The following is a 12,005-nucleotide window of genomic DNA, read 5'->3' as shown; positions in this document are numbered from 1 at the left end:
CAATGCTGGAGTGAGGAGCCTGTGGGAGGTGATTGGATTACAGGGGTGGATTTGTCCATGTTTTTCTCATGACAGTGAGTGAGTTATCACAAGATCTGATGGTTTAAAAGTGTGTAGCACTTCCCCACCTTGCTTGCTCTCTCTACTGCTGCCATGTGAAGAAGGTGCTTGCTTCCCCTTTGCCTTCCACCATGATTGTAACTGTCCTGAGGCCTACCAGTCATGCTTCCCATTAAACCTGCAGAATTGTGAGTTAATTAGACCTCTTTTCTTCATATATTACTAAGTCTCAGGTAGTTGTTTATAGCAATGTGAGAAAGGACTAATACAGACACCAAATGACAGATCCAAGAAGGTCAGAGAAAACCAAGCAAGTGAAATACACCGAGGCCTATTATATTCAAACTTCAGAAATTAAAGATAGAGAAAAATTTTTGAAAGAGATCAGAGGAATAAAACACCTTATTTATAGAGCAGTAGACATAAGGATTATATCTGACTGCTCCTCAGAAATTATTTAAACAAGAAGAAAATGGAGTAAGATATTTAAACTGTTGAGGGGAAAAAAACACCAACCTAGATTTCTGTAGACTTAAATTATCCTATGAAAGTGAGTAAAGCTTTTCTCATACAGACAAATGATAGGAAATTTGTTGCCAGTACACAGGCTTGCAACAAATGTTAAAAGAAATTCTTCAGAGAGAAGGAACATGATATTGGTCAGAAACTTGGATCTACATAAAGAGAAGGAATAACTAAAGGTAAAATTAAAACATTTATTTTTGTTATTCTTAATTGATCCAACAGATAGTTTGTTCAAAAATAATAATAGCAATGTTGTATTAATGACATATGCATATAAAAAATAGGTAGAGGGATATATATGCTTATGCATAAGTGAAAGGGATGACAGCAACAATACGAAGGACGGGAGAAAGGAATCAGGATTATTTGGTTGTTATAAGGTACTTTTACTTCCTGTGTAATGGTGTTATTTGAAAGTGGAATTTGATTAATTGTGTTTTATGCTAATTATAGGACAACCACTACAAAAGTGAAAAATGAAGTATAACTGATATGCTAAGAAAAAAAATAAAATGAAATTATATAAAATGTTCAATTAAAATAAAAAAAGACAGAAAAGAGTAGAAGAAAAACAGGAATAAAGATGAAGGATAATACATAGAAAGCAGTAATCATTCTAGTAGATATTAATTCAAGTATATTAATAATCACATTAAATTTCAATGGTCTAAATTCACCAATTAAAAAACAGAAATTGTTAGAGTGTATTAAAATATAAGACCCAACTTTATATTGTCTACAAAAAACCCCCTTTAAATATAAAAAAACATATGGATTAAAAGTAAAGGGATATAGAAAGATATACTATGCCATCCACAATTTTTACAAATAACAGGAGTATTATATTAATTTCAGAAAAAGCAGACTTCAGAACAAGGAACTTTATCCAGGATAAGGGGAACATTACATCACGATAAAGGGGTCAATTCTTAATAAGATATAACAATCCTTAATGTATATGTGCTTAACAACAGAGCGTCAAAATATGTGATGCAAACCTAATAAAACTATAAGAGACATAGATGAATTCAATACTAGTGTTGAAGATTGCAACACCCCTCTATCAAAAATGGACAGATCCAGCAAGGAGAAAATCAGTAAAGACATAGTTGAACTCAATAACACTGTCAGTTAACTGGATATAACACATCTATTGACTTGTTCATTCAACAGCAGCAGAATACACATTCTTCTTAAGTTCATTTGAACCTTTACCAAAATACAACACATTCTGGCCCATAAAATATATCTCAACACATGTAAAAGAATAGAAATTATATAACGCCTGTACTCAGACCACAATGGAATTTAACTAGAAATCAAAAACAAAAAGATAGCTAAAAATCCCTTGAACACTTGAAAATTAGACAACAGACTTCTAAATAGTACATGAGTCAAAGAAGAAATTTCAAAAATATTTTCAACTAAATGAAAATGAAACTACACCTCGTCAAAATATGTGGAACACAATGAAATCAGTGCTTACAGAGAAACTTATATATTTCTAATATATGAATGCATATGTTAGAAAAAAGAAATCTAGAATCAATAATATAAGCTTATAATGTATGAAACAAAAAAAACAAATTGAATTCAAAATAAGCAAAAGAAAAATAATAATAAAAATAAAAGCAGAAATGAATGAAACTGAAAACAGGAAATCAGTAGAGAAAATCAATAAACCCAAAAGCTGGTTCTTTGAAAAGATCATAAAGTCCTTAATCCTCTAGGCTGGAGAGCTGAGAATAAAAGAGAGAAGATACAAATTATTAATGTCAGAAATGGAACAGGAGACATTATTATAGATCCCATGAACATTAAAAAGCTAATAAAGAAACATTATGAAGAATTATATGGCCACAAATTTGATAACTTTGATTAAATGATCAATTCCTTGAAAGACACAATCTTTCATAACTCATACAAAAGTAAATAGGCCATCTGAATGGGCCTATATCTATTAAACAAACTGAACCAATGAATAATAATCTTCATAAACAGAAAGCACCAGGCCCAGTTGTGTTCACTGGGAAATTCTACCAAATATTTAAGGACTAAATCATACCAATTCTCTACCATCTCTTTCAGAGATAGAAGCAGAGGGAAATACTGCTAACTCATTTGATGAGGCCAGCATTACCTAAATACCAAAACCAGACAATGTCATTACAAGGAAAGAAAATTACAGACCATTGTCTGTATAAACATGGATGCAAAAATCATCAGAAAAATATTAGCAAATCAAATCCAACAATTTATAAAAAGAATATTACTCCATGACCAAGTGGGATTTATCCAAGTTATACAAGGCAGTTTCAACATTTGAAAAGTGATTAATATAACCAACCCATCAGATCAACAAACTAAGGAAGAAAAATTACATGATCATATAATTAGATGCAGAGAAAGCATTTGACAAAATCCAGCACCCATTTGGGATAAAAAACACTCAGAAAACTAGGAGTAGAAGAGAACTTCCTCAACCTGATAATAAATACCTCCAAAAATACTACAGCTAAAATTATGCTTAATGGTGAGTAACTAGAAACACTAAGGTCAGAAAAGAAGCAAGGATGTCCCTTCTCACCATTCCCTTTAAACATTATACTGAAAATCTGTACTAATGCAATGAGATGAGACAGAGAATAAAAGTTATACACATTGGGAATGATAAAATCAAACCATTTTTTTTCACAGATGACATGATTGTCTTTGTAGAAAACCCCCCAAAATTGACAATAATCCACCTAGAAGTAATAAGCAATTATAGCAAGTTGCAGGATCCAAGGTTAAGATATAAAAAAATCACTTTCCTATATACCAGGAGAAAACAAGTGGAATTTAAAATTGAAAACACAATACCAGTTACCTTAGCACCCAAAAAACTCAAATACGTAGGCATAAATCCAACAAAATATGTACAAGATTTATATTGGGAAAAATACAAATCTCTGATGAAAGAAGTCCAAGAAGAACTAAAAAATGTGGATATTCCACGTTGATGGATAGGAAGACTCAGTATTATCAAGATGTCAGTTCTTCCCAACTTGATATATTGATTCAATTTGATCCCAATCAAAATTCCAGCAAGTTATTTTGTGGATATCAGCAAACAAATTCTAAAGTTTACGTGGAGTGTCAAAATATCTGGAATAGCCAACACAATATTGAAAGGAAAGAACAAAGTAGAAGACTGACACCATCCAACTTCAAGACTTACTATAAACTACAGTGATCAAGAAAGTGTGGTATTGGCAAAATAATAAACAATTAAACTAATGAAATAGAGAGCCCAGAAATAGAACCACATAAATATAGTCAACCGATCTTTGACAAAGCAGCAAAGACAGTAAAATGGAGAAAAGATGATCTTTTCAACAAATGATGCTGGAACAATTGGAAATACACATGCCAAAGAAAAAAGTGAATCTAGACACAGAACTTATACCCTTCACAAGAATTAATTCAAAATGGATCATAGACCTAAATGCAAAATTCAAAACTGTAAAATTCCTACAAGGTAACATAAAATAAAATTTAGGCAACCACTGGTATAATGACTACTTTTTAGATGCAACACCAAAGGCAAGATCTGTGACAGAAATAATTGATAAACTAGACTTCATTAAAATGAAAAACTTCTCAGCAAAAAAGCAATGTCAAAATAATGAGAAGACAAGACACAAACTTGGAGAAAATATTTGTGGAAATCATATCTGATAAAAGATTGTTATTCAAAATATGCTAAGACTCTTAAAATTCAGCAGTAAGAGCACAAAAAAACCCTGAATTTTAAAAATGGGTCAAAGACCTTAACATACATCTCACAAAAGAAAATATACAGATAGCAAATAGCATATGAAAGGATGTTCAACATCATATGCCATTAGGGAATTGCAAATTAAAACAGCAATAAAATACCACTACAGTCCTATTAAAATGGCCAAAATCCCAAACACTGACAAATGCTGGTAAGGATGGGGAGCAATAGAAACTCTCATTCATTGTTGGTGGGGAATACAAAATGGTACAGCCATTTTGGAAGACAGTCTAGCAGTTTCTAACAAAACTAAACATACTCATACCATATAACTCAGCAATTGAGTTCCTTCATGCTTAACTGAGTTGAAAACTTATGTCCACACAAAAGCCTACACACAAGTTTTTATAGCAGCTTTATACATAATCACCAAAACCTGGAAGCAACCAAGACGTCCTTCAGTGGGTAAATGGATACAAAAACTGTGATACATTCAGACAAAGGAACGTTATTCAGTGCTAGAAAGAAACAAGCTATCAAGCCAGGAAATGACATAGATAAACCGTATATGCATATTACTAAGTGAAAGAAGCCAATCTGAAAAGGCTACATACTATCTGATATCAAGTATATGATATTTTGGAAAAGACAAAAGTATGAAGACAGTAAAAAGATTAGCATTTTCCAGAGGTTATGGGAGTGGGAGTAATAAATAGGTGGAGCAAAAAGGATTATTAGGGCAGTGAAACTACTCTGTATGATACTATAATGGTGGGCACATGTCATTATACATTTATGAAAACCCATGGAATGTACAACACCAAGAGCGAACCCTGTGAACTATGGATTTTGGGTGATAATGATGTGTCAATGTAGGCTCATTGTGACAATGTACCATTCTGCTGGAGAATTTTGTTAGTGGGGAGGCACTGTGTATGTGGGAGCAGGGGATAGATAGGAAATCTGTACTTTTCACTCTAGTTGCTGTTTACCTAAAACTGCTCTAATAAATGCCATCTATGACAAACCCACAGCCAACATAATAATGAGTGGAGAAAAGTTGAAAATATTCCCGCTGAGAACTGGAACAAGACTAGAATGCCCATGTTCACCATTTCTATTCAACATAGTACTGGAAGTCCTAGCCAGAGCACTCAGACAAGAGAAAGAAATATAGGGCATCCAAATTGGAAAAGAGAAAGCCAAACTGCCCCTGTTCACCAATGATATGTTCATATACCTGGGAAACCCTAAAGACTCATCTAAAAAGCTCCTAGACCTGACAAATAAATTCAGTAATGTCTTAGGATAAAAAATCAATGCACACAAATAAGTAGCACCACTATACATCAACAACAACTAAGCTGAGAATCAAATCAAGAGCTCAATTCTTTTTACAACAGCTACAAAAAAATAAAATACTTAGGAATATATGTATCCAAAGAGGTGAAAGATCTGTATAAGGAAAACTACAAAACACTAGTGAAAGAAATCATAGATGACACAAACAAATGAAAACACATTCCATGCTCATGGATGAGTAGAATCATTATTGTGAAAATGACCATACTGCCCAAAGCAATATACAGATTCAATGCAATTTCCATCAAAATATCATCATCATTCTTCACAGAACTAGAAAAAGCAATCTTAAAATTCATATAGAACCAAAAAAGAGCCCACATAGCCAAAGCAAGACTAAGCAAAAATAACAAATCTGGAAACATCACATTACCTGACTTCAAATTATACTACAAAGCTATAGTTACCAAAAAAACATGGTAGTGGTATACAAATGTGTATGTAGATCAATGGAACAGAATAAAGGACCCAGAAATAAAGCCACATTCTTACAGCCAACTAATCTTTGACACAGTGTACAGAAATATAAAGTGGGGAAAAACACCCTATTCAATAAATGGTGCTGAGAAAACTGGCAAGCCACATGTAGAAGAATGAAACTGGATCCTCATCTCTCATCTTATGCAAAAATCAACTCAAGATGGATCAAAGACTTATATCTAAGACCTGAAACCATAAAAATTCTAGAAGATATCATTGGAAAAACTCTTCCAGATATTGGCTTAGGCAAAATTTCATGACCAAGAAACTAAAAACAGATGCAACAAAAACTAAATAAATGGAACCTAATTAAATGAAAAATCTTCACACAGAAAAAGAAATAATAAGCAGAGTAAAGACAACCCACAGAGTGGGAGAAAAAAATACACAAACTACACATCTAACCAATGACTAATATCCAGAATCTACACGAAAAATAAAAAAACACAAATAATCCCATCAAAAAGTGGGCAAAGTACATGAATAGACAATTCTCAAAAGAAGATATACAAACAGCCAACAAACACATGAAAAAATGCTCAACATCACTAATTTTCAGGGAAGTGCAAATTAAAACCACAATGAGATGCCACCTTACTTCAACAACAATGACCATAACTAAAAAGTCAAAAAATCATAGATGTTGGCATGAATGTAGTTAGAAAAAACACTTTTACACTGCTTCTGGTAATGTAAATTAGTACATCCACTATAGAAATCAGTATGGAGATTCCTTAAAGAACTAAAAGTAGAACTGTCATTTGATCCAGCAATCCCACTACTGGGCATCTACCCATATGAAAATAAGTCATTATATGAAAAAGACACATGCACGCACTTTTATACAAGCACAATTCACAATTTCAAAAGTATGAAACCAACCTAAATGTCCATCAGCCAACAAGTGGATAAAGAAAATATGGTATATGTACAACATGGAATACTACTCAGCCATAAAATGAAATGAAATAATGGCCTTTGCAGCAACTTGGATGGAGTCAGAGGCCATTATTCTAAGTGAAGTAACTCCAGAATAGAAAACCAAATGTCATATGTTCTCACTTATAAGTAGGAGCTAAGCTATGAGGATGCAAGGTCATAAGAATGATATAATGGACTTTGAGGACTTGGGAGGAAGAATAGGAAGGGGGAGAAGGATAAAAGACTACATATTGGGTACAGTGTACACTATTTGGGTGATGGGTGCACCAAAATCTCAGAAATCATTAAATAACTTATCCATGTAACAAAAAAAATCTGTACCCCCAAAATTATTGAAATTAAAAATAATAAAATAAAGTATATATTTTAAAAAGAGACAACACATATATTGGTTGGTGCATTAGTAAAAAATTTAAAATAAGCTAAATTCTTCACCTCAATTTTAGCTCATTGCTCTCTAAATAAATTGTTTTTTAAAGTTTTTTTTCATTGTTCATCGTACTGACTTATTTTAGCACAAATTAATTCCATAATACAATCAATTTGGTTTTATTTTTAGGCTGAAATAAAAAACAAATGGTGAGGGAAAGCTGATTTGATTCCAGTTTCCCATAATGCTATGACGACTGGCCAGTATAGCATTGTGCTTCTGCTTTCTTGCTGAGACTAGCTGACTATCCAATGTTCTCATTCACTCAACCATTCAAAGAATATGTATTCATCTGGATCTATGAAGAGATATAATTCTTGCTTTTCAGGGATTTACGCTAAATGCCATGTTTTAATACAGGCCTAAATATATTTAAAGTTCCAAGCCAGCTTCACATTATAAATAGGTCTGATGGTAATCCTTGCCTTAAGTGTTTACAATCCTATAAGAAGGGAACTAATAAACACATAAATGTAGTGTAAGGTCAAGTAGACTAACTTTGGGAAGCAGCTTATGCTGTAGGAGTTAAAAGTACTAACTCTATAGGCAGATTTGGATTCATAACCCTCACTTTGTAATTTCTTAGTTTGTGGAAGGGGGGTAGGCTAGTTACTAATCTGCTCTAAGCCTCAATTTCTCCATCTGCAAAGTGGGAATAGAAGTGGTACTTATCTTATTGCTAAGAGGCTTAATTTAGATAAAGCATATGATGCATAGTTCAGCGAATGGCACATAATTTGTAATCAGAGTTGCTATCTAGCTATATAAACACAATTTTATGGGGATTCAGAGGATATAGGGCTCACATATGGTTATGAGGAGGAGGGAAATCTTTCTAAAGGAGGTAACGTTTACTATGGAACTTCCTACTTTCCCCTGCCTTTGTCTTCCCTTAGTCCCTGAAACTGGCCTCACTGATGGGCTCTATGTTTAGGCATAGTACTGTTACAAGTACTGAGTTAATACTAGCAGAAGCATCCCCATTCTCACCATCTCAGCATCTGAAAATAATTCTTCTTAGCATTGGATTTAGTATTCCGATTACAGATAACTCCATCTCCATCATTCTCATTTCTTATGTACATGGATCAGTGTCTAGCTGAGAGTATGTGCAAGTACATTAAAAATGGGTCATAGATATTCTTCTACCTTTCTGTAAAACTGATGTATTGATGGTGCCACATGCCTTGACATAAAAATATTAAAAGGCTTAAATGGGAGCAAAGAATTATAAGCAGAAAAACCTGTTCCTGTCTATATTGTTAAAGCAAACCTTTGTTCTTCATCATCAGTGAAAAGATAAATCCATATCAAATGGCACAGTGTAAATTAGACATTTATAATTTATATTAGTCTGTAAGTTTAAAAGATAATTATTAGGAACACCATATTTTCTCACAGTAGAGATGATGGAATTGCCATATGAAATACTTTGCATACTGAGAGGGAAGAAACTGAATAATCTGCTTCTAAATGCTAACAGCTTTAGATAAAGACTATGACAAGTAAGCTCTGAAAAAAAGTCACAGATTTGTATTGCAATCATACTGATGTTGTGGAAGTCGTGAGCTGGAATCATGTCTTGCTATCTCTAACCCACCTTGCTGTCTTTCATTTAAAAAAAATGGACAAAGAAATCAGAACTCTATATACTTTCATTCCTCTCTAACACCTGGCTCTTTTTCTGAGTTAAGTTTGAACTTCATGTATGAGGCAGGACTGAAATGTCTTTTTGGACTCCCCATTTCTATTCTCTGCATGCTGTCTCCCACTTTTAGTAGCTCTTCTCTCTGCCAGTGTTTAGCATGTCTTTCTATGCTCTGAGTTTACAATTAGGAGAAAAACAGATCTGCTGTTATCATAAGCTCCTTGAAAACAGAGAACATATCCTATATGCCTGTGTATTCTGCACCGTGTCTATTTCACACAGTGTGTTCAACGAATATTTCTTAATTTTTTTCATTTCTAATAATAGTTTATACCTATCACATATCTACTAAAAGCTTAATGCATGCGAAGCATTGTTCTAGATACTTGCATTGTTTCATTAATACGTCAGCAATTTCATGAAGTAGGCAGATTAACAATTTTTATGTTCATTTGGCTTAAAGAGGGCAAACAGCTAGTGAGTGTTAGACAAGATTTAGATCTGTTTACTATGAACTCCCATCCCTTAACCACTAAACTCTACTCCCAATGCTCATTTAACACTCTATTATTACTGACATCATTTTGTCAATTGGCTTAGCATATTATATTTCCCCAAAGTATTTGCATTTTATAAGACAGAGCTAAGGAGCATATAAGATGAATAAATCAATCTCTAATAATGGACTTTAAGGCACAAACTGCAGGAGGAACTGGGGTGACATTTTTGCAGTAATTTTTCACCTGTTGCTCAAGTCACATTGCTCGTGTTTTCTCACAAACAGCTAGTAAAAGTAAAAAAGCCTAAGGTCTCCAATGGAAGTAGAGAAAGGAGCAAACCTTGACAATGGCAGAAGTACATTGTTAAACATGTCTTTTTAATGTAAAAATTAGCATATCCTGCTTCCCTTACCCGGCACTGATTTCTCAGTCTCACTGTTTATGTTGTATCTTTCTAGAAATTGTACATGTCTGTGCAAATGAGATCAACAAAATAGGACCAAATTATACACTATTTGCCATACCTATTAATGTGATAAATTATATTAATGTTTCCTAATATTAAACATTATTGAATTCCTAGAAAGAAACCCAAATCATCTTGGTGTATTATTCTTTACATATAGATTCTAATTGCCAATATTTACTTCAGGATTCTTACATCTACATACATAAGTGAGATCAAATTTTAGTTTTCTTTTCGAAGATGTCTTTGTAAGATTTGATGTCAATGTTATTGCTGGTTTTATAAGAAGAGTTTAGGACCTTCCTCTTTCTATTATGAGGAACAGTTTGAATACTTTCAGAATGATTTATTTCTTGAAAGTTTAAGAGAAATTACCTTGTAAATCTATTTGAACCTGATGCTTATTTTGGAGAAAGGGCATAGTTCTTCAATAAGACTAGATTTTTTTAATGGCAGTTGGTTTATTTAGTTTTTTAAAAATCTCATCTGGAGGCTATTTATGGTTATTATATTTTCATTAAAAATTATGTATTTTATCCAGATTTTTAAATTTATTTGCACAAGGTTGAGCAATGTCATCATCATATCTAATTATTTTGCATTTTTCTGAATCTGTGATAATTTTCTCTTTTTCCAGTTCTAATTGTTTGTACTTTTTCCCAATCTTGTTGATTAGATTAGCTGCTGGTTTATTTATTTTATAATTATTTCTAAAGGAAAAGCATTTGGATTTAGTCATTAGTTTCACTGTTTTTTCTGTTTTCTGATTCATCAATACTAGCTTTTATCTTCATTAATTTCTTGTTTCTGCTCCTCTGATATTAGTAATAACTAAGCCAAATGCTTTTAATAGTATACTTGTATTAATACATATAATCCTTAAAACAACTCTAGAAGGTAGATATTACTTGTATCCCCATTTTACAGGTTGACACTCCTCATTTTACAGATTGGGAAAGAAACACTGAGAGGTTAAGTGACTTGTCTAAGGCCATGCAGTTAGTGGAATGAATGGTAGAACCAACTAGGATACAAAGTCAGCTCTGTGTTCCTATCCACTGTGCTATATGGTCTCTTTGAGTTTACAATACTGCTTTCCCCCTAATTTCTTGAGTTGAATGTTTAATTAATGTATTTTTAATATTGTTCATTTATCAATAATAGTGTTTAATGCTATAATGTTTCTTCTAGGTATAGCTTTATTAGGATCTTATATGCAATTCTATTATTATTCTCTGAATTTTCTATAATTTCAGGGGTTTTTTTTCTTTTTGACTCAATAATTTTTAACACAGTTTTTTTTCCTTAATGTTTGGGTTTTTATGGGTTTTGTTGGTTTGTTTCAATGGTGTTTGTTCTAGTATTTTTGTAGATATTATTCTTCAAGTTAACGTTATGCTGTTTTATTCTTTGATTATAGATTTTTGTAGTAAATGAGGAATGGATTTTTTCAACTATTTTCTTCAACAACACATATTAAGATGGTCATATGATTTTTATTTTCTAATCTGTTAACATAGTGAATTACATTGCTTCAGTAGCTCATATCAAAATATATAGGAAACACAGGATTCTATGATATAGTTGTTTTACATTATTCTTTTTTTTTTTTTTTTTTTTTTTTTTTTTTTTTTGAGACGGAGTCTCGCTCTGTCACCCAGGCTGGAGTGCAGTGGCGCGATCTCGGCTCTCTGCGAGCTCCACCACCCGGGTTCATGCCATTCTCCTGCCTCAGCCTCCAGAGTAGCCGGGACTACAGGCACCCACCACCATGCCTGGCTAATTTTTTGTATTTTTTTTAGTAGAGACGGGATTTCACCGTGTTGGCCAGG

The sequence above is a fragment of the Homo sapiens genome, chromosome X, assembly GCF_000001405.40.
Source record: "Homo sapiens chromosome X, GRCh38.p14 Primary Assembly".
In the NCBI taxonomy this organism is placed as follows: Eukaryota; Metazoa; Chordata; class Mammalia; order Primates; family Hominidae; genus Homo; species Homo sapiens.
The sequence above is the reverse complement of the archived record's forward strand: the minus strand, read 5'-3'. Positions refer to the sequence as shown.